The sequence below is a fragment of the Homo sapiens genome, chromosome 1, assembly GCF_000001405.40.
Source record: "Homo sapiens chromosome 1, GRCh38.p14 Primary Assembly".
Classification (NCBI taxonomy): domain Eukaryota; kingdom Metazoa; phylum Chordata; class Mammalia; order Primates; family Hominidae; genus Homo; species Homo sapiens.
The window spans coordinates 233,312,058-233,335,511 of NC_000001.11; the positions used below are offsets into that span (position 1 = coordinate 233,312,058).

Sequence of the window (23,454 nt, forward strand, 5' to 3'; positions counted from 1 at the left end):
GCGGAGGTTGCAGTGAGCCAAGACCTCACCACTGCACTCCAGCCTGGGCTACAGAGCAAAACTCTGTCTCAAAATAACAATAATAATAATAATTACAAAGCTGGTGGGGGTGGGCATAGGAAACAATAAAATAGATAAATTAATAGCCAACTTAAGCAGAAACAAAGGGCAAAGGACAAATAGGCACAAAGGAAATGAAAAGGACAAAACAAACAGAACAAGAAGAAATATAAACATCGTAAGAGAATACTTTGCTTTTGAGTATTCAAATAAATGTAGAATCTAGATATAATTGGATAATTATCTAGAAAAATATACATTGTCAAATCATACCCCAGAAGATACTAAAAGTCTTTATTTATTGAAATAAGAGAAAAATGATCTGTAGAAGAAATAGAGAATATTATTACAAAACTATAATTTCAAGAAGCACCAGGCCCAAGTTATTTCACAGCAGATTTTTACATCAACTTTTATGAAATATGAAATAGGTAATTCCAATGTAACTTAAGCTATTTCAGAACACTAAACAAGACGAAAAACCCTTCCAAATTCTCTGTATGAAGGTAGCATAAAACATTCCAAAAATTCAATAAAAATCCATAACTACACTCAATCACAATTATGAATGATGATGTAAAAATCCAAATTAGGTATTAGAAACAAATGTAGCAACACATAAAACTCCAAAGAGAGTTCATCCCCAGAGTACAAGGATGGTCAATATGTAAAGGATGTCTAGTAAAATAGGGAAATTTTGGATGTCCATTAGTAAGACTATTATTTATATTGTTCTGGGCCATCAGTCAATGGATTAGAAAAAAAATTCATATGAAGAAAACCTTAAAATGTAACCGAAAGAAAAAAAAAAGACTAAGCAAATGGAAAGGCATAGACACTGTGTACCCAGAAGATTCAGTGTCATACTAACTCTTGCTAAACTGACTTATAACTCTAACATTATCTCAATTTTGAAAACCTAAAGGAAGAAACTAAAATTACACATCACAACACGGATGGATCTTAGAAATAAAATGTTGATCTCAATAAGCTCAAAGGAGTATATGATTCTGTTTATATGAAATTAGAAAACAGGCAAACTTAATTTGCTATGACAGGCCAGCAATTAGAAGGAAGCACAGGGAGTTTCTGGGCTTCTGGCAATGCTCCGCTCCTTGATCTGTGAACTGCTCACATGCATGAGTGTAGTTTGTATTCAGTATGAATAAATAAGCAAAGAAGAATTGCCAGGAAAATTCTAGAAAAAAATATTAGCCAAGATTAGTCCCAGCAGACACTATAATATTGTGGCATGGGGGGATAGGTAGACAGACTTGTCAGTGAGATGGAACAGAGAACCAGGAAGTGGTATGGAATAGAAGAAAACCTATGGAAAATAATTTTCAGTAAATGGGAAAGACTATTTGTACTACAACTTAGAAACAATAAAGGAACAGATTCAACAACAGATTCAACTATGTAGAAGTAAAAGCAAGAAAACAAGCAAGCAAGACAGAAAAAGAGAAAGTGGGGAGGGAATGAAGAAAGAAAGAGGAAAGAAAGAAAAAGAAAAAATCTAGACAAATCAGGAAAAATATGTGAACCTCATGACCAAGACATATAAGTTAGTATACACAGACCTCCTAAACATCAGTAAGAAAAGACCAACCAAAAATGGACAAAGAAATAACAGGTAGTTCACAGTAAGGGTAATTAAATGACCCAAACATAGGAAAAAATGTGCAATCTCACTCACAATAAGCAACGCACTTTACAACTATGGGAGACCAGCTGCCACTATCAGACTGGGAAAAGACAAGTTGTTGCTGTGTTGAGAAAGGTGCTGGTGGGAGTGTAAAGTTTCCTAGCTCCTGTGGAGGCCCATTTAGCCACATCTGTCAAAATTACAAATGCATGTGCCCTTTGACTCGGGAATCCCATTCGCAGGAATTTAACCTACTTGTATGCAGGCACTTGTGCAAATGGCAAATTATGAAGATATTTGCTGCAGGGCTGTATGTGATAACAGAAAATTGAAAGTAGCCTAAATTTCCATCAAAGGCAGTCATTAAAGAAACGATTATGCAGCAGACAGTGAGTACTACAGAAAAGTTAAAGACAATGAGGCAACTTTTAATGTCCTGCCTTTAAATTTATATGATACATATATATTTAGAGAGAGAGAGAGATGCATACATCTATCTCTGGATGTATTGTGTACATCTATTTCTGGAAAGATACAAATTAAATTCTTAAGCAAGAAAATGGATGGCTGGGGAGTAAACAGTGTGGGGGAGAATTTTAACTTTTCAAATTATCCTTTTGTGTATATGACCTTTTCAAAATGTGTATTTTATTTCATTTTATTTAAAGATATGTATATAAAAATAACTAAGAGAACACACATACAAGTTTTTCTAGGTTACTTCTACGTGGAAAACATTTAAAAATATGGAGGCAACTGATCAAGAGAATAATTAACAGCTAAGAGAATATTAACTTTGCTTTCAAAAGTAGGGTTAGAATCCATCTAAGTAGGAAAAATAAAGTTTTCAGTACCAAAGTTAATATGAAGGAGAATCAATATTCTGTATAAATGGAAGCTGTGGCTCAAAACCATAATTTGTCAATATTTTTTCAAGATGTTTAATTTGAAATCTTTGCATTAGGCTGGGGGCTTTTATTTAAAAAAAAAAAGATATTCTTACGTTATTACAGAAAACCAGTTTGTCCAAGATAATTTTCAGGTAAGGAAATACCCCTGAAAGGGATACTTACTGGAAACTTTCACTCATTGAACCCTCACCTTTATCAAGTGACATTGTAAAAGATTAGGAAGACTTCAAATGACCCTGTGATTAAGTAGCAACCACAAATAATACTTCACATTTATATGGCACATTATAGTTTTCAAAGTACTTCACATTCACCAGTGCCTTCAGGATAACAAAGACGACCCTATAGGGTAACAACAACATCCATACATTCAGGAAGGGCACATCGTAATGCAGATTCTATGTCTTTGGGCACTGAAAATTCTTACAGAGAATAAGTGATAACCATGAGGTTAGATAAAGCAGCAACGGGAATGGATTCAAACAGAGCAGTCATAGCTGGTATGTTCCGCATTCACATATAAGAGAAGAAAAGGTCAGATAAGTTAATTTAAGAGTGCTTTAGAAATGTCAGAAAATATTTTAAAATACTGCAGAAAAAACAGAGATTATTTCATGAAAGAAACCGGAACTACACAGATTGTGCTAAATTAACATACGCTTCATGCATTAACAAAATAAATGATTGGATTTATTTAGTCTTTCTCTTCTGAGAATTTCAAAAGAGCTGTTCAATTTTATCATCTCATTACTTCTCATTGTAGTCATTATATAGTATTCTTAAAGGGGTATGTTAATATTAGTCTAATTTTATATGTGGATGAAAAATTTGGAGAATTGAATAAAATCTCAAGGTCTCTAAAATGGTCAGTGGTGTAAGTTCAGCTTTTAATGAATGTCGCAGTCCACTTTGAGGGAGTTACACCTCCCAAAAATAGACCTGATATACAGAAAACCATCATTTTCATAGAACAAATAAGATATAAGTCACTACAGAGTAAATTTGCGCAGGGAAAGAAAGTTAACTCACAAAAACAGGTAGTATGACCAACTTTTGGCATTTAAAAAACAAACAAAGCAAGTATAAACCAATTTCTCTATGATTTATTCTCTGTGACCTTAGAAGGATGACTAACCTTTTTTTAAAAAAAAAATCTTTGTCCTCTGTGTCCTTTGTTTAATATTTCTAGCAGGTTGTGAAGAATTAGTCATTATGTTTGAAAAGAGTCCAATGAATTGTAAATACAATAAAACCAATTTTCATCAGACAAATGTGCAAAAATGGCAACTCAGGGTAAATGGCAGCCTTCCTATCTCAGGTCCAAGGTCATGAGCTTGATAGTTTACTTCAGAAAGGATATCTTCCAGGGTTTACAAAAGATCTGGGCTTTCTGGAACCACTCAGGTTTTTACATTGTTGCATTATTGAATGAAGTAGCTCATTGTCCATTTCAGCGGCCCTTGCTATAATCTGTAACTTTAAGCATGAACAGGCAGGGCTCCAGTCCTGTCCACTGATTAAAGTTACAAAAATTCTAAAAATCACAATTACTCTGTCTAAAGCTGAAAGGTAGCTGAAGCTATGAGAATAAAGAGTAACCTAACACAGGCTGAATTCAAAGCTTTGACACTAACAACAGATGCCAATAAATGTTAACTTATTACTGTTACCGTATCATCACCACCATCAGCATTGTTGTCATTATTCTTACTTGTTTAACTGCACTTTTTTTTCACTTGTTTGTTTGTTTTAACCTGTCACTAAACTGAAGCTCAAGACCCCACATCTTTAAATGCATGAAAATGAACCAGAGAAGCAGAGTCAAGAGAAAAAGGCTAATTTACAAGCTCACAAGACCTTCAAAAAGAACTTCATGCTATTTTTTACTAACACCTCCTTCATTTATAATTACTCAGCTGTCATACTGACATAATGAACTGGGCCTTCAGATAATGTGAAAGTCGAAACACTCCCTTGTAGTATTTGTTCACTTAAACTTTCTCCAGATAATTGCTTGCCAAACCCCTCCTGTCCCTCAAGTCTTTGCTCAAATCTTATCTTCTCAATGAGGCTACTCTGTCCTCCCTACTGAATACCAGGTTAACCCCCTCCCCATTCCTGACTCATCTTACCCATCTTTTCTTACACTCCTCTTAATGTTTATAAAGAAATTATCAAATCTAACATACTACATAATTTACTTATTCATCCTGTCTATTTTTCATCTGATCCTGCTAAAATATAAGCTCCATGGTAACAGGCAACTTTGTTTTATTCACCATTATATTCCAAATAACTAGAATTAATGCTTGACGTTCACAAAAATAGGTATCAAATGATGAAACTAATCTTTCTGTATATTCTGTCCAATCTGTTACAAACCAAGTGAATATTCTTATTACTTGGATTTATTGCAGCATTGTTCATGATGAGTAAGTCAGAATACTGGTGACAACAGGGCTGGGTTCAAAGGCTCAAACCTGTAATCCCAGCACTTTGGGAGGCTGAGGCAGGCGAATCAGCTGAGGTCAGGAGTTCAAAACCAGCCTGGCCAACATGGTGAAATCCTGTCTCTACTAAAAATACAAAAATTAGCTGGGCGTGATGATGGGTGCCTGTAATCCCAGCTACTCTGGAGGCTGAGGCAGGAGAATTGCTTGAACCTGGGAGGCAAAGGTTGCAGTGAGCTGAGATCGTGCCACTGCACTCCAGCCTGGGCAACAGTGCGAGACTCTGTCTCAAAAACAAACAAACAAACAAACAAACCAAACCAAAACAAAAAAAACTGATGACAACAAGATAAAAGTTACAATTAATCTCATATATGTATAATTTGGTTTGCTCAGAAAGCATTATGTTTTTAGATGTGATATACTTGAGAGTCTTGGAAGTTACTAATCCAACTTTTAATTCTGACTATCCTAAGGAAAATGTTTAAATTTTTTTGGCACAGTGAAATTGATCTTTGGTGTAGGAAAATATACTAAATGAGGGGCGGGGGGAGAAGGGATAAATATGCCTTCTATTGAATTTTCTGTTTCAATAAGTCCTTCATAAACAATACCTAATATTAAAATAACAGCTAATATGTATTAGCACTAGTTAAATGCTATGCTTTAATGCATTAGCTCAATGAATCCTCAAAACAACACCACAGGGCAGATACTATTATTCCACCATTTTACAAAGGGGAATAAAGACGAGGTTTCAAGTAACAAAGGCGAAGCCAAGATTGGAGTCCATGTCTTCCTGCATATGCTTGCTGTTAATCGCAGTGTTATATTCCCTTGTATTGCTCAGCAACTGATGGTGGGTTACACCAAATTATACCACCCAGGTAAAACACACACACATACACACTTGCCCTATCTCCCAAGTGTAATCCAAGGTAAGTATGACAGCTGGCATTTCCAAAGTTTCAGGATACCAATCCAGATGCTTTTTGTCTCAAGAAGTTTGGCACGGGGCCTGATATGGGCAATCCTATTGAGCTACTAATAATCTCTAAAATTGTGTGTTTTACCTCTAGAAATGGAAAGGTTTGGGGAAAAATAACTAAAAGTTGGGGGAAACATTTTATATCCCAGAAAGTTTTCCATTTTTTAAAGAATTCACATACAGTTTTTGAGGGACTATTTTTCCTCACCCCTCCCTTTAACCGCTGCAGTTTTTCATCTCTCCTCATATCCAGATATCTCAGACCATTTTTAAGGTCTTTCTATTCATATTTCCTTTCTCAGCTCCTTCCAAGAAAATATCCTTTTCTCTAGTTGAGTGACCTCAATGGCTGGTGAACCCATAATCATTGTTCTGTGTCTCTATGAATAGTTTCTTCCTCCATCTCCTCATGATTGCATCACTCCCCCACCATCTTTTTCTTTTTCTTTTTCTTTTTTTTTTTTTTTTTTTTGAGACAGAGTCTCACTCTTGTTCAGGCTGGAGTGCGGTAATGCAATCTCAGCTCACTGCAACCTCCGCCCCCGCCCAGGTTCAAGTGATTCTCCTGCTTCATCCTCCTGAGCATCTGAGATTACAGGTGTCTGCCATCATGCCTGGCTAAGTTTTGTATTTTTAGTAGAGATGGGGTTTCACCATGTTGACCAGGCTGGTCTCAAACTCCCGACCTGAAGTGATGATCTGTCCACCTCAGCCTCCCAAAGTGCTGGGATTACAAGCGTGAGCCACTGCGCCCAGCCATTCCCATCCCTTTTCACTTACCTAATCCTACCCACCCAGAAGTCCCCACTTACGTTTCATCTGCAAGACTCTCTCATACTGAGGGTGACCAGCCACCCCAAGACTTCAGCACTGAATGTCCTGTGACCAGGAATCCAGGACATTTGTCCACCTCACACAACCCTCCTCACTGATACCCACCATCTTTCAGCTGCTCCACAACTCCATCCACTCCACAAAGCCTGTCCCTCTCTCGGGTTGCTATCTCCTTATACTGGTTTATCTTGACTCTGTAAGACCCTCGATGGCAAGGACAACTCTGGATTAATGCCCACCATCTCCACTTCCTCATCCCTCATTTTTTCACTGTAAACCACACCCCCCCATGGTTTTGAACTACTGAAGCTGAATTTGTAAACGTCAGAGGTTTCTTCACCACCAATTCCCGTGGCAACTTTTTCCTCTTCTTCCTCTCTAGGGTCATGACTGCTCCCGCAGGTAGATTAGATCTCCTATGAAAGGGATTATCTTTTCTGGTATTAGCTACTGAGGCTCCTTTCAGACAGGAAACTGAAGTCAAAGCAGGTGCAAGAGAGAGGAAAAGCATAATCACGCTCTGAGCTTATGGTCGTCAGGTCTAAGTGGAAGCCCAAGAGAGAAAGCCAGGTGTTCTGGGTTAATGTGAGGGCTGAATTCCATTTCGTAGTCTCATTTGCCTTTAGTAACATCTTTCTTAAATGACCCAGCTTTGTCTGTACTGCCCGTGTTATCACAAGGTTTTGAACAAAGGGTCTTATGCCCTCACTTGAACAAGTGCTTTATCGGCAGAGTTTATTTCCCTTTGTGGACAATTCTCAAATTTTTTTGATCTCAGGATCTCTTAATGTGCTTAAAAATTATTAAAAACCTCAAAGAGTTTTTGTGTATGTGCTTCATAACTATCAATCACTTCTGTATTGGAAATTAAAACAGAGACATCTAAAATATTTATTTATAGCTTTATTTTAAAGATAACATTAATAATTCCATTACATGGTAACATTAAATACATTTTTAGAAATAATTCATTTTCCCCAAACTAAAACATATAGGTAAGTTGACTGGTATTGTTTCATATGTTTATAAATTTCTTTTATGCCTGGGTTAATAGAAGACAGCTGCATTGTCTTATATGTTTCTGCATTCAACGTGTTGCAATATATTGTCCTGGCTGAAGTATATGGAGAAATTCTAGCCTCATAAAGATATGTATTTGCAAAAGGCAAAGCATTTTTTTAACTTTTTGTTTGGATGGAGTTGTAGATTTACATGCAATTGTAAGAAATAATACAGAGGAATCCTAAAACCTTTCACCTGATTTTCTCCAATGGAATTATGCATAATTATTATGCAATAATTATGCAATAATCATGCATAATTACCATACAATATCACAACTAAGAAGTCAACATTGATAAAATCCAATGACTTTATTCAGATTTCACCAGTCCTACATACATTCGTGTGTGTGTGTGTGTGTGTGTATATTTAGTTCTATGTGATTTTATCACATATGCAGATTTATGTAACCATCATCACAGTCAAGACACAGTACAGTTCCATCCCACAGGTCTCTCATGCTACTGTTTTTATACTTGTTCCTTTCCTCCCTTTCTCCTTCCTCACCTCTCTAACTCTTGATAACCACTAATCTTTTCTAAGGCAGATGTATCTTTAACAGCCTTTTCAGGTAACCATGGATATTCTTTGATACCATAAAAAAGTAGTAGTCGCTTAAAGATTAGTTGCAGTGTGGAATGTGAAACCATTGTTAATGAACTTTTCTTTAATACACTTTGAATGGATCTTTTTGCATACTTTGGAGATACCAAAATGACATTGGTCGTTTGGAACATATTGGTTCTCTGAGCTATTTAGATTTTCCAAATGTTGCCACATCTCATTACCCAATATCAAAAATCTCATTAATTGATATCACTACCAATCTTATCAGGAAAGTCTTGTAAGTATTTGAAAAGTTGTTGAGCTCATATTAGCAGCTAAAAGCTTTCTAAAATCCTGGTTGTTGCTTGGAAGCTCAAATTTTAACACTGGTAACAAATACTGCCAGTGGTTTTCCACGGAATAAGAGATTCACTTTGTTCATTTTCAAGAAAATGTCTTCTTTTTTTTTTTTTTTTTTTTTTTTTGAGATGGAGTCTCGCTCTGTCGCCAGGCTGGATGCAGTGGTGCGATCTCTGCTCACTGCAAGCTCCGCCTCCGGGGTTCACGCCATTCTCCTGCCTCAGCCTCCCGAGTAGCTGGAACTATAGGTGAAATGTCTTCTTAATATCCAAGTCTGAATAATTATAATTTGTCTATCAATCATTCTTTCAAGTAAAAATGGTGTTCCATTAAAAAAGCAGGTGAGATCAATGTACAACTCAAAGAATTACCCAAGCGCTTTTTATTTCTTTTTATTTTTTTGAGACAGCGTCTTGCTCTGTCACCCAGGCTGGAGTTCAGTGACATGATCTCGGCCCACTGCAACCTCTGCCTCCCAGGCTCAAGTGATTCTGCTGCCTCAGCCTCCCAAGTAGCTGGGATTACAGGCGGGAGCCACCATGCCTGCCTAATTTTTGTATTTTTAGTAGAGATGGGGTTTCACCATTTTGGCCAGGCTGGTCTGGAACTTCTGACCTCAAGTGATCCGCCCACCTTGGCCTCCCAAAGTGCTGGGATTATAGGCATGAGCCACCACGCCCAGTCAAGTGCTTTTTCTTTAAAATGTCATCATACTTGGGTGTGCAGAAATGCTTTATATGCATTTCTCATTTTGTCATATAGAATATTAATCACCTGTACTGAGGATTTGAGAGTAAATAAAATCGGTATTTTTTACTGCTTTGTCAGGGACATTTTAAAGTGAACCTGGCATTTTTCTTGTACTGCATGTGCATGACACTGAAGAATACTACAGTTTGAAGCCACTACCTTGGTTTGTGCAACTCATCCTTGCTTTTTGCATCATCAGTGCAAATGTCAACAGAGTGAATAAAAGCAAATAACATTTTCCTAGAATTAGGAAAACAGTTTTGACCTTGTAGACCCCCTGAAAAGATCTCAGGGGTCTCTCAGGGGCCTCGGATCACACTAAGAACTGCTGAGCTAAGATAATAAGCGAAGCAGTAATTAGTTAAAGATTCCCAAACAGAAGGTGGTTCTTAAGGGTTGATTCTTCTTTCAAGACCAGCATTGGAGAATCCAAATACATATATAAAAGAGCAACCCCATACAGCCATTCCTTCTTTCCTGGACACTAACTTTTTGTCCTCTTTGTCTAATTCTTTTAAACTCTTTCCTTTTCTCATTCTTGCCACCATCTGTTTAAATATACATTTGCCACCCGATTTCTGTCTTAGCTCTCTGTTCTTGTGTTGCGATATATGTCCTTGGTGGATTGTGCTGGACTCGAAAGAGCAGATGTGGTTACAGTACATGCCTATGAGTAGGGCACGACACCAATGCTTTTCTCCAAATGCCAGATTTGGGGGGTTAAAAATAGCACCGAAGCAACAAATGATACATTTTAGGATAATCAAGCACAAGACAGACTCTCATCTGGGACAGTTTCCTGCTCAGAGGTACCAGATGGGGAACAGGTCCCAGAGAATCACACTGGTCGGTGATCAAGGAGGAGGAATCTGAGTTGTGGTGTGGAGGGTTACAGACACTTGGCACTCCTCTTAGTACCAGGCGTTCGACTCAAGAGAGGGGTAAAGTCTACCTAACCTAGAAGATTCTGCAGACTGGATTCCTCTGGAACGTGATGAGATTTGTTTTGGCAGGCAGCAGAAGGGCAGAGCACAGAGTCAGCCAGCATGAATGAAACGGATATAGTTTCAGATGGACGTTCTAAGTCAAAGGCACCCCCACCCTGCCCCAGCACTTCCCCACCCTTGATCTCTGCATGACCCAAGAGCGAAGTTTGCTTCAGTACCTGACATGCTGCTTAGGACACTTCTTCCAAAATACGATTTCCTCTACCCTTCTTCGTCTTTCTGAGTTCCTGGTTCTCTCCCGTTCCATCTTTATAATCAGTTGCCTCAGAGCAACACACCAATAAATTACCTTTTCTCTAAAACAATATTCCAGGTCATTTCATATCATTAATATCCACCTAGTTGCCCAAGCTCAAAGCCTGGGAAGAAGTATCTTGAACACTTCCCATAAACATCCACAATTCTAAAACCCAAGAAGCTCTGAAAATAAAAACCTGTTTTTGGAAGGTGGCACCAGAACTCATTTGGCATCAAAACTTGACTTGAAATGACATAAGGCTGTTTGTGGTGTTGATTTATCCCACTTGCTGAGAATAGTCTTACATTTTAGGACAGAAATATTAATGTGTTTGATTATAGGGTGCTGCCTCATACCCCACTGGGGAAAGTGTTAATGTTTTTTTGTGTACTATCATACTAAAGTCCCCCAAATTCTAAAATCATCAGATGCTCAAGTCCCATATGTAAACTGGTATAGTATTTTCATATAACCTATGCACATCCTCCTGTATACAGGCATGCTTCAAATTATCGTGGTTTGCAGATACTGCATTTTTTACAAATTGAAGGTGTGTGGCAACACTCCAAGAGCAAGTCTCTTGGTGCCATCTTTTCCAACAGCATTTGCTCACTTTGTGTCTCTGTATCACATTTGGCAATTATCACAATATTTCAAACTATTTCATTACTATGATATGTATTATGGTGATCTGTGATCAGTGATCTTTGATGTTACTAATTGTCATTGTTTTGGAGCACCACAAACCACACCTATATCAGACAGTGGACTTAATAAATGTGATAAATGGCTGGCTCCACTGACTGGCTATTCCCTGTCCCTTTCCCTTCTCCTCAGGCCTCCCTATTCTGAGACAGGACAATATTGAAATTAGTCCAATTAATAACTCTACAATGACCTCTAGGTGTTCAAGTGAAAGGAAAAGTCATACCTATCTCACTTTAAAGCAAAAGCTAGAAATGATTAAGCTTAGTGAGGAAGGCACGTGAAAAGCCAAGATAGGCTGAAAGCTAAGCCTCTTGCACCAGTTGCCCAAGTCATGAATGCAAAAGTTCTTGAAGGAAATTAAAAGTGCTACTCCAATAAACACATGAATGATAAGAAAGACAAACAAGCTTATTGCTGATATGAAGAAAATTTTAGCAGTCTGGATAAAAGATCAAGCCAGCTACAACATTCCCTTAAGCCAAAGCCTAATCCAAAGCAAGGCCTTAACTCTCTTCAATTCTAGAAAGGCTGAGAGAGGTGAGAAAGTTAGAAAGCTAGTAGAGGTTGGCTTATGAGGTTTAAGGAAAGAAGTCATCTCAACGTAAAAGTGCACGGTGAAGCAGCAAGTGCTAATGTAGAAGCTGCAACTAGTTATCCAGAACATCTAGCTAAGATAATTGATGAAGGTGGATACACTAAACAATAGATTTTCAATGTAGACAAAACAGTCTTCTATTGGAAGAAGATGCCATCTAGGACTTTCATAACTAGAGAGAAGTCCAGACCCGGCTTTAAAGGACAGGCTGACTCTCTTGTTAAGGACTAATGCAGCCAGTAACTAAGTTTAAACCAATGCTCATTTACTATTCTGAAAATCCTAGGGCCCTTAAGAATTATGCTAAATCTACTCTGCTTGTGCCATATCAATGGCACAACAAAGCCTGGATGACAGCACATCTGTTTACAGGATGGTTTACTGAAATTTTTTTTTTTTTTTTTTTTGAGACGGAGTCTTGCTCTGTTGTCCATGCTGGAGTGCACTGGCATGATCTCGGCTCACTGCAACCTCCACCTCCCGGGTTCAAGTGATTCTCCTGACTCAGCCTACAGAGTAGCTGGGATTACAGGTGTGCATCACCACACCTGGCCAATTTTTGTATTTTTAATAGAGATTGTTGGCCAGGCTGGTCTCAAACTCCTGACCTCAGGTGATCTGCCCACCTCGGCCTCCCAAAGTGCTGGGATTACAGGTGTGAGCCACCACACCTGGCCAGTTTATTGAATATTTTAAGCCCACTGTTAAGAGCTATTGCTCAGAAAAAAATGATTCTTTTCAAAATATTACTACTCATTGACAATGTATCTGGTCACCCAAGAGCTCTGCTAGAGATGCACGAGGAGATAAATGTTGTTTCCATGCCTGCTAACACAACACCCGTTCAGTAACCCATGGATTACAAAGTCACTTTGACTTTTAAGTCTTATTATTTAAGAAATACATTTTGTAAGGCCATAGGTGCCAAAGATAGCAATTGCTCTGCTATGAGATATGGGCAAGGTAAATAGGATTCACCATTCTAGATGCCATTAAAAACACTCATAATTCATGGGAGGAGATCAAAATATCAACATTAACAGGAGTTTGGAAGAAGTTGATTCTAACCCTCGTGAATGACTGAGAAGTTCACGACTTCAGAGGAGAAAGGAACTGCAGATGTGGTGAAAATAGCAAGCGAACTGGAATTAGACGTGGAGACTGAGGCCAGGCACGATAGCTCACACCTGTAATCCCAGCACTTTGGGAGGCCGAGGGGGGCGGATCACGAGGTCAGGAGATCGAGACCATCCTGGCTAACACAGTGAAACCCTGTCTCTACTAAAAATACAAAAAAAAAAAAAACCAAAAAAAATTAGCTGGGCGTGGTGGTGGGCACCTGTAGTCCCAGCTACTCGGGAGGCTGAGGCAGGAGAATGCCGCGAACCCAGGAGGCGGAGCTTGCATGAGCCGAGAAGTGGAGACTGAGAATGTGACTGAATTGCTACAATCTCATGATCAAACTTGAACAGATGAGGAGCGGAGTTGCTTCTTATGGAGAGGCAAAAAAAGTAGTTTCTTGAGATGGAATCTACTCCCAGAGGAGATGCTATGAACATTTTGAAACGACAAAAAGGATTTTGAATATCACAAACTCGGTTGGTAAAATAGCAGCAGGGTGGGAGAAGGATCACTCCAATTTTGAAAGTAGTTCTATTGTTGTTAAAATGGTATCAAACAGCTTCCCATGCTACAGAGAAGTCTTTCGTGAAAGGTAAAGTCAATCCATGTGACAAACTTCATAGTTGCCTTAAGAATTTGCCATAGCCACTCCAACTTTTAGCAACCACTGCCTTGATCAGTCAGCAGCTATCAACATAGAGGCAAGACCTCTGCCAGCTAAAAGATTATGACTTGCTGAAGGTTCAGATGATCATTAGCACATTTTACCTATAAAGTACTTAAAATTAAGGTATAAACATTCTTTAGACACAATGCTATTGCACACTTTATACGCTACAGTATACTGGAAACATAACTTGTATATATATGCACTGGGAAATCAAAAAATTCATGTCACTTGCTTTATTGCAGTGATCTGGAACCATGCTTGCAGTATCTCCAAAGTATGCCCATACTTTAAATAGTTAGATTACTTATAATACCTAATATAATGTAAATGCTCTGTAAATAGTTGTTATGCTGTATTTTATTTGTATTATTTGTATTGTTATTTTTTGGGTTTTTAAAAAACATTTTTGACCAGCTGTTGGTTGATTCTGTGGATGCAGAAGACCCACTGTAAAACTATTAACTCATTTAGTCTTCCTAAAAACCCTATAAAGTAGGTACTATTTATTATATTCCCATTTTATAGATGAGAAAACTGAGTCATAGAGAAATAAAGAAACTTGCTCAAGGTCACACAGCCAATAAATAGTTTGATCTGAGAGACAAAGAAAACTGAAAAGACAATAAATTTATCTTTATGTAACTCAGAATGTTACTGTATGTCCTATCCTCATAATATCTAAAATTGTCCCTTCTGTTATTGGAAGTACAGGATCCACACGTTAGGAAATTCTGGCCTACTACAGGATAATCTAATATTTTAGAATTTTAATAACTAAGCTCTTCTATCTTTTTAGCCTCATCACCTGCCACAGTAACCTACCAACGTCTGGCACCCAGCCATTGCCAATGCTTCCTAAACCCAAACCTGTGGGTTTCCAGGGAGACTGGGGCATTTTCCATCTGAGTAGACAGTAAAAATAAGCAAAGGATTTACCATCATGGAGCTTCTGGGACTATACCGACCACGGGTCACTCTGCGCTGCGATCTGTAACCTAGTCAGTTCTGAGATGCACGGTGGCTCAAACGCACTTAGCATGGTGACTTGCCACTCGCACTGGCCCAGGTCTGGCACCGCGCTACAATTTCTTCTGTAGCCCGTTCTGAGATTCTGTCACTCTCCCTGAACTGCAACTCTCTCTCTCCCCGCCACACCCTAAAGCCCCACATCTTCTCAACCCTCTCCCACCGCTTCTTGGAGAAGCGTCCCCTCCCTCAGTCTTACCTTTGGCTTAATTTAAACTCTCCCGAAAATTTATAGCGGATGACGGCCGATCCCGCCTCCCAGACCATGTGGGCGCGGCTCACCATTGCTCCGGAGCACCTGCGGCGGGGGCGGGGTGGGACCAGCCAGGCGGGCCCAGGGGGCGGGCCCGGCCCAAGGTGGTGGGGGACGGGCCCGGGCGCCAGGGGCGGGACGAGGCTCTGGGGACTGGCACAGAAAAGGGAAGTGAACCTGGCGAGGGCGGGGCGGGATGGTGCAGTTGGTGGGGAAGGGTGGGGCGAACCTAGGAAGGCGGTCCCATAGGGCGGGCGCAGACTGGGCGCCCGGGACGGGTCAAGGAGGGCGGAATGAACCTGGAGAGGGCGGGGCGGCTGGGGGAGGGGCGGGAAGGCCCTGGGGACTGGCCTAGGGGCGGGCCCGGGGGGGTGGGGGGGCGGTGCGGAATGGAGCCGGAGGGGGCGGGGCGGCCCTGGCGCGGCTAGGGTGGGGTGGGGCGTCCCAGGCTCTGGCTAAGGAGCGCGCGGCGGGCGGGCCGGCCGCAGGGCCTGGGCACGACCATGGTGGGACGTCGCCCGCGGCTTCGGGGACCGCTGCGGCAGCAGAGGCGGCTGGCCAGGAACGCGGGCCGAGGCTGGACCCTTTGGGCAGCTAGCCCGTGATCTCTGCCGTCACCGATCGCGATTCCTACCCCCTCGCCTTCCCCCGGCGCCGACGGCCACACCGCCGGACGATGCGCGCCCGCGGCCGCCCGGGAGGCTGAGCCCAGCTTCCCGCTCCGCCTTCCCCGCGCAGCTGCCCCCATGGCTTTGCGGGGCGCCGCGGGAGCGACCGACACCCCGGTGTCCTCGGCCGGGGGAGCCCCCGGCGGCTCAGCGTCCTCGTCGTCCACCTCCTCGGGCGGCTCGGCCTCGGCGGGCGCGGGGCTGTGGGCCGCGCTCTATGACTACGAGGCTCGCGGCGAGGACGAGCTGAGCCTGCGGCGCGGCCAGCTGGTGGAGGTGCTGTCGCAGGACGCCGCCGTGTCGGGCGACGAGGGCTGGTGGGCAGGCCAGGTGCAGCGGCGCCTCGGCATCTTCCCCGCCAACTACGTGGCTCCCTGCCGCCCGGCCGCCAGCCCCGCGCCGCCGCCCTCGCGGCCCAGCTCCCCGGTACACGTCGCCTTCGAGCGGCTGGAGCTGAAGGAGCTCATCGGCGCTGGGGGCTTCGGGCAGGTGTACCGCGCCACCTGGCAGGGCCAGGAGGTGGCCGTGAAGGCGGCGCGCCAGGACCCGGAGCAGGACGCGGCGGCGGCTGCCGAGAGCGTGCGGCGCGAGGCTCGGCTCTTCGCCATGCTGCGGCACCCCAACATCATCGAGCTGCGCGGCGTGTGCCTGCAGCAGCCGCACCTCTGCCTGGTGCTGGAGTTCGCCCGCGGCGGAGCGCTCAACCGAGCGCTGGCCGCTGCCAACGCCGCCCCGGACCCGCGCGCGCCCGGCCCCCGCCGCGCGCGCCGCATCCCTCCGCACGTGCTGGTCAACTGGGCCGTGCAGATAGCGCGGGGCATGCTCTACCTGCATGAGGAGGCCTTCGTGCCCATCCTGCACCGGGACCTCAAGTCCAGCAACAGTAAGTGGGGCCAGAGGGAGGTGGGGGAAGACTACCTCCGTGCCAGCCCAGGCGGGCTCCACAGGACATAGTACCAGATGGAAAGAGGTGGGAGTCAGCCTTAGGGCGCCAGCAGCAACTCATGCCCAGGCCTTCAGGGCTCGGAAGTCCAGCTAGTCCTTGGTTACTTGCTTTGGGGCTGGTGACACGCTTAACCTTGACTTGCCTTTGGGTGCTTTTTAAAAAAGTTCAGACCAGACTTGCTTGTAGAGGAAACATTTGTAAAATACCTGGATCTCCTAGAAACCTCAGGGGGCAGTCTGGCCTTTCAATACCAGAGGTGATTCATCTGGGTAGGACTTTGCAAACCGAGGCCTTCTGCAGATTATATGGAACCCATGACCGTCTTCACCCGGTGGCCTTCATCAAAGTCCCCGAATGCACTCGGGGACGTCAACTTTACAAGTGCTGTATTGAGGTTGCTGTTTGCCTATTCAAAATATGACTTCATGTCTCTTACCTTTTCCAAAGACTGTTTTCATTCAAATGTCTCTCTATGGGCCAGGCGCGGTGGCTCATACCTGTAATCCCAGCACTTTGGGAGGCCGAGGTGGGCGGATCACCTGAGGTTACGAGTTTGAGACCAGCCTGGCCAACATGGCGAAACCCTGTCGCTACTAAAAATACAAAAATTAGCCCGGCGTAGTGGCAGGCGCCTGTAATCCCAGCTACTCGGGAGGCGGAGGCATGAGAATCACTTGAACCCGGGAGGCGGAAGTTGCAGTGAGCCAAGATCGCGCCACTGCACTCCAGCCTAGGAGATAGAGTGAGACTCTGTCTCAAAAAAAAAAAAAGTGTCTCTACGTGAAATATGATTTTATTATTGGTTCAATGGCTTCTTTTCTCCAGACAAGAGGCACTGGTGTGCACCGTAATGCACTTTTGGGTTAATAACAAGTGCATTGTCCTTGCACAGGTACTTGAAACCTTGAAGACCTGGCCAGTGTCATTGACTTTGTTTATAAATCAGGGTGGATTTTCCAGATGTCAATAAAGAACTGACAAATGACTTAAATGCAAATCCTATGAAACTTTGCTGTATAAAAGAGCCTATAGAATTGCTGTTTGATGTTGGTTCTTTAATATTGAAGATCGCTTCATATTCTTATAATGAGATGAAATCCCAGGGAAGGTTAAAGGATGCAGCCAGCCCTGGCATTGGCCTACAACAGCTGGAGGTCTTTCAATCCTGTGAAACCTGCTAGGACAGGAGCTAGCTCAAGTGAAAACATTGTCCCTAAAGAAGAGTGACAAGAAGAAATTTACTTGAAAATTACTAATGTAGCATTTTCACTGGGAATTGTAAATAATTGGAATGTTGTAGCTAAGCATAAGCATTAGGTTTTATTTCATGATCCTCCTTCCCCCCAAGTCTCTCTATAATTTAGATTGCATCTGCTTAGGTGATGAGAGCAAAGTCTAACAAAATATGTTGTTACTGGTAGCGGTGTATTCTTAGTACTTTGACAGACCACATGAAGGACTATAGCATTGCTTGCTTTTGAACTGTGTTACAGTAAAAACAGAGCGCAATTTCCTAAAATATACTTTTCTTTCGATAATATATATATATTTTTTTCAATAAAAGAAACGTCTGACCAGGTGCTGCCATAGAATGGGTGACTTGTCCATGTGTTCCATAAGCCCTATTTCCAATGGTGTCCTGAAAGCCTGCGTCTGTTAGGAGTTTTCTGCAGAACCAGGTATTTTAAGGACATCAACAGCACCATTCATTCTTTCCCCTGCCTCTTGGCAGTTGCAGCAACTCTGTGACAACACAGAACCCAACATTCTGCAAATGTATCCAAATCATCAACACAAGCAAACACTTGGGTTGTACTGGTCCTTAGGCTAAAAAGTTAAAGGGCCTATAGCTATTACTTTTACACTGCACTTAGTTTTGTTTGGTTGCAATACTTTTCAAAGTTCATACAACACAGGGTAGAGAATGTTTGCTAGTGTTTTTAAAGCATGTTTTAAAGGATGTTTATCCATTCCTATGGGTTAATCCATAGGATTTATGGATCAATCAACAATCCATAGCAATTATTGCAAATAGTAAATTTTTATAAAGTTTTATAAAGTTTTATAAACTTTTATAAAATATAAATGTTTAAAGAACTCCTAATATTATTAAATGGTAAAAAGAAATAACATGACCCTGGAATAATAACTATGGCCGAACAGTTTTTACTGACACCAGAAAAACTTGTATAGTGGAGTATAGACTACTGTGTATTCAGTAGATATTACATAATTTGATGGTGATTACATGCTGCTACTTAGTTTTTGAAAGACTTTTCAGTCTCAGAATAAATTGCCAAACTTCCCGGAGTATTTTAATTTCTATAATTGTCAGGCAGGATTCCCTTTGCTTTAAATTGTTGCACTCTTATAAAAGACTTAATTAGCTAGTCACTAGCCTGGCCAAGTATTTGTTACAATATGACCATTATCATAGTTATTTAATTACTATAAAGTGAAGAGTTTGACTGGGGTCTAGAATGTGCAAACCATGGTGCCTCATACATGGTCTTTATCCTGAATGTCTGATTTTATTTGTTCAATGAATAAATGCAGATTTGAAATTCTCTGCTGATATATGAAGCTATGACTTCTTGTTTAGACTTTTAAGTATAACAGATACTCTATTGCAGTATGTTTTGTTTGATTTTATTGGATATTTGCTAATGGTGGTAGTGAGTTAGTGATAACGTAAACAAGGTTTTAAAAATCAATATTGAATTTTATTTTCACTCCGAAGTGTACTCATGTACCAAAGAGCTAATAGAAGACTACTTGGAGCCAATTCAGTGGAAATTACTGTTTTAAACAAATATTTAAATTTGTCTAGAGAATATGTTACTCTTGACAGATTTTCTTTTATCTTTTCTAGTAGATCTTCTCAAGTTTTATCATATCTTGTGAGGGAATGTCTGTGTCTAGATAATAGCTGATATGTTGTGAATGATATAAACAACTTTGTCCCTTTTCTAACAGGTAGCAACAGGTTGAAAGTTGTGCCAAGTTAGCAAGCTTTAAGCAACATTTATGTTTTAAATAAATACTAGGCCCTGTAACTCCCTTCTGGATGCAAAATAAGTAGAAAATACTTTATATAAGTCTACCTATAGGCACCCCCCAGAGAACAATACAAGGCAACTTTGAGTTACTGTGAAAATCGCCAGTGTTATGCGCATTTACAGAAGAGAGAAACATTGTGGAGAGCTGGAACTCATTCAACACTGTTGGAATGCCCACCCTGTGCCAGTCACTTCTGGGCCTCAGGGACACTGGCAAGCCAGACATCAATGACAACAAATCTGCCATCATAGAGCTTAGTCTAACGGGGAAGATAGATGGCAGTCACGTAATAACAAATAGATTAGAAAATGCCATCAAGAAAATTAAGCATGGTAAGGGGTGGAGAGTGGTAGAGTGGAGGATGGGGGTGCTGTTTCACACAGGGGCTCTCCAGGGAAGGCACTCCGAGGAAGGACCACGAATTCGTCAAGCAAAGACCCAGGCAAAGGAAAGAGGAAGCAAAAATGAGCCTTCCATATTGGAGGCCTAAGGAGAAGGCTGGTGAGGAGAGGCATGCGTGGGGCAGGCCTGGCAGGCCTCCCTCTGCTGTGCACATGGAGGTTTCACTTGGAGTGATGGTGCTGGCTTCTGTGAAGAACGGACTGCAGTGGGCTCAAGTGATGGCTTTCAAGGTTGTCTATATGAGAGGAGGCACCGACTCTGCCCAGAGTGGTAGCAATGGAAGTATTTTGCAGGGAGGTTACCAGGGGGCAGTGAAGATAAAATACTGCAATATAAGAATTCCCAAGGATGGTTTGAAATATTAGAATTTTGTTTAAGAGTTTTATTTATCAAATTGCAGAAGTGCAAGATTGAAGTAAGATTATGTGGCATCATGTATGGTTTCCTTTTTCTTTTTTGATGTTGCTTATTGTGTTCTATTTTTTTTTTCTTAAGAGGAAATAAACTTTCCATGGGGAACTGAGCCACAAATTATGGTAGCTACTTACTTTTATACTTTTTATGTCAGTGATTAAGCATTTATTATCTCAATTTTTTTAGTCTTTTAGGAATAATTATTATCTATCTACAGTATTATTTACAACTACAATAGTTGTATTTATTATGAAATGCCATTTGGAGCTCTTACTATGACAAACTGCAAAAGGAATATAAATTTTGTTTTAGCTTTTTTTCATTAGTACTGTGTAAATAAAAGAACTATCTGAGAAAATTATGGAAAATGTAATCTCCAGATAAGATGTTTAAATAGCTCATCAGAGTGATTTGGGGAAGCTACTAATTTCACTATTATCAGTTGTAAGACATAAGTTCCTTCTCTCTTCTGTTCTTATACTCAGGACATGTAGCTTCATGCTATAGCTGCTTCCTATTCCAGGAGGCACAGAGAAGTCAGTCCAGATGTCCCAATGGTAACTGAGATCTACATCTGCTTTTGAAACAAAGTTAGTGAAAGATTAGACTTTTAGAAGAATGGCAATCACAAAAGAGTCACCACATCTTCCCCCATCATTTTCATGTTTGCGTATTAAAAAGTAAGTAGCTGGCCAGGTGTAGTGGCTCATACCTATCTATCATCCTGGCACTTTGGGAGGCCAAGGTGGGAGGATCGCTTGAGCCCAGGAGTTTGAGACCAGCTTGGGGAACATGGTGAGACCCTGGACTACAAATATTAAAATTAAAAAAAAAAATAGGCAATGTCTTATTTTTTTGTAGTTGTGAGGGGTATAGCTAGTTAGTTCTGAATTATGCAAAGTATCCGTATTTGATCAGTTTTGTAATCATTATCAAGTATATCAAAGCAGGGTAAAGGAGACAGAGGAAAGTATTTATCTGCTCTACCCATTTAAGAAGGTCATTTGTAAGCCCTGCTTTTTCACACTAGCATTTAAGTGCTAAACCTACCAGAATAGTGCAGCTAAGGGAAACAGCATTGGCTTTTTTGTGTGTGTTTTTGTTTTTTTGAGACGGAGTCTCGCTCTGTCCCCAGGCTGGAGTGCAGTGGCACGATCTTGGCTCACTGCAAGCTCCGTCTCCCGGGTTCACGCCATTCTCCTGCCTCAGCCTCCCGAGTAGCTGGGACTACAGGCGCCCGCCACCACGCCCAGCTAATTTTTTTTTGTATTTTTAGTAGAGATGGGGTTTCACCGTGTTAGCCAGGATGGTCTTGATCTCCTGACCTCGTGATCCGTCCGCCTCGGCCGCCCAAAGTACTGGGATTACAGGTGTGAGCCACCGTGCCTGGACTTTTTTTTTTTTTTTTTTTTTAATACAAGGTCTTGCTGTGTAGCCCAGGCTGGTCTCAAACTCCTGGAGTCAAGCCATCATCTTTCCTCCTCAGCCTCCCAAAGTGCTGGGATTACATGTAAGAGACACCACCTCTGGCTCTATCTAGCATTGCCTTTAAAGTCAGTCAGATCTGGATTTGAATATCAGTGTCCTCATTTACTAGCTGTGTGACCTTGAGCAAGTTATATAACTTCATTGAGACTGATTGTCTTGATTTCTGATACTGTATTCGTTTCTTGGGAGATCTGTCAGAAGTCCTGTAGGGAAAATCTGTTTAATGTTTCTTAACCCATTAAAGCCAATTAGGTAAATACTGGCATAAAAACATATGGCTTTTTCAGGGAACAATGAGTAGTTAGGTGTAACTAGAATGAAAAGTGGAGAAAGGGTTTTTTTGGGGGGGAAGGAAACAGGCATTTCGCATGTGGTCAGGCAGTGAGTGCCATGGATGCCATACTAAGATGTGTGGACTATTTAAGAGGCAAGGGAGAGCCATTGATGGTTATTGAGGAGTAGTGTAGTATGATCTGCTGCAAGAAAACACATCTACAGAGAGAGAAACATAAGCTTGCGGTCATTGCTTTATGACTGTACTATCATAGATTGTCAGAATGGCAATAATAAAAACTAAAATAACTTACTTAGACATTGGTTTGACCACATTGTTTATCATTTACAATTCAAGCCTAGTTTTTAGCATCACAATTTGTTTACTGAATTAATTTAGACTACATTTTCTCTCTGATTTCTTTCTTTCTTTTTTTTTTTTATTATACTTTAAGTTCTAGGGTACATGTGCACAATGTGCAGGTTTGTTACATTTCTAACTACTTCCAAAATTGGAAAATATTCTCTAGCTTTACCGTGTCAGGCTGATGATCTTAACTCCAAATGTTAATGACTGTCCCCAAACTCTCTGAGGCTCCCCAAACCCTCTGAGGCAATCCAGGGCTCCCGAAAAATAGAAGCACCCCAATGAAGGAATTTTAATGGGCAGAGGGTTTTGTGGGGGACCTGGGAGAGCTGTGATGGCTTTATTTTGGAGCCTGAAACTTAAATTTGTACAGTTGACCCCTTGGCAGTGTGAATTTAGTTTTTAAAATTCATCTTCTCCAAATATTGCTTCACGTTGAGTGCTTTTAACTAAATAATAGTATTAATAATTGCAAAACCACGATTACTTGTACACCAACCTAATAGTAACAAGATGAGTTTTTAACATTTATTTAGGGCATATTAGATGCCGAGCACTACTCACAATTTATCCTCATTTATTTGTCACTACAACCTTTTGAGGTGGCGCTC

General features: G+C 41.3%; 2 protein-coding genes across 2 annotated transcripts in view, besides 4 other annotated features; one reads left to right on the forward strand and one right to left on the reverse strand.

The window, feature by feature from the left end:
• The window catches only part of PCNX2 (pecanex 2), a 343,895-nt gene extending 328,623 nt beyond the window's left edge, over positions 1–15,272 (reverse strand). The window contains exon 1 of the mRNA XM_047430870.1: positions 15,172–15,272. The gene's annotated coding sequence lies outside the window, so the exon portion shown is untranslated. The remainder of the gene's footprint in view (positions 1–15,171) is intronic.
• Positions 15,181–15,480: a silencer, noted in NCBI's record as "silent region_1960". NCBI's record gives its function as "represses an Ori minimal core promoter by ATAC-STARR-seq in GM12878 lymphoblastoid cells {active_cell/tissue: GM12878}" and the evidence as "EXISTENCE:reporter gene assay evidence [ECO:0000049][PMID:35858748]".
• The window catches only part of MAP3K21 (mitogen-activated protein kinase kinase kinase 21), a 57,425-nt gene continuing 49,637 nt past the window's right edge, over positions 15,667–23,454 (forward strand). Inside the window, exon 1 of the mRNA NM_032435.3 lies at positions 15,667–16,776. Within this exon, the coding sequence (NP_115811.2) occupies positions 15,972–16,776 (805 nt within the window). The 5' untranslated portion in view covers positions 15,667–15,971. The remainder of the gene's footprint in view (positions 16,777–23,454) is intronic.
• Positions 15,671–15,970: a silencer, noted in NCBI's record as "silent region_1961". NCBI's record gives its function as "represses an Ori minimal core promoter by ATAC-STARR-seq in GM12878 lymphoblastoid cells {active_cell/tissue: GM12878}" and the evidence as "EXISTENCE:reporter gene assay evidence [ECO:0000049][PMID:35858748]".
• Positions 15,770–15,921: a silencer, noted in NCBI's record as "fragment chr1:233463573-233463724 (GRCh37/hg19 assembly coordinates)". NCBI's record gives its function as "represses an EF-1alpha promoter that drives an FKBP-Casp9 reporter gene in an ReSE screen in HepG2 liver carcinoma cells {active_cell/tissue: HepG2}" and the evidence as "EXISTENCE:reporter gene assay evidence [ECO:0000049][PMID:32094911]".
• Positions 16,111–16,310: a silencer, noted in NCBI's record as "silent region_1962". NCBI's record gives its function as "represses an Ori minimal core promoter by ATAC-STARR-seq in GM12878 lymphoblastoid cells {active_cell/tissue: GM12878}" and the evidence as "EXISTENCE:reporter gene assay evidence [ECO:0000049][PMID:35858748]".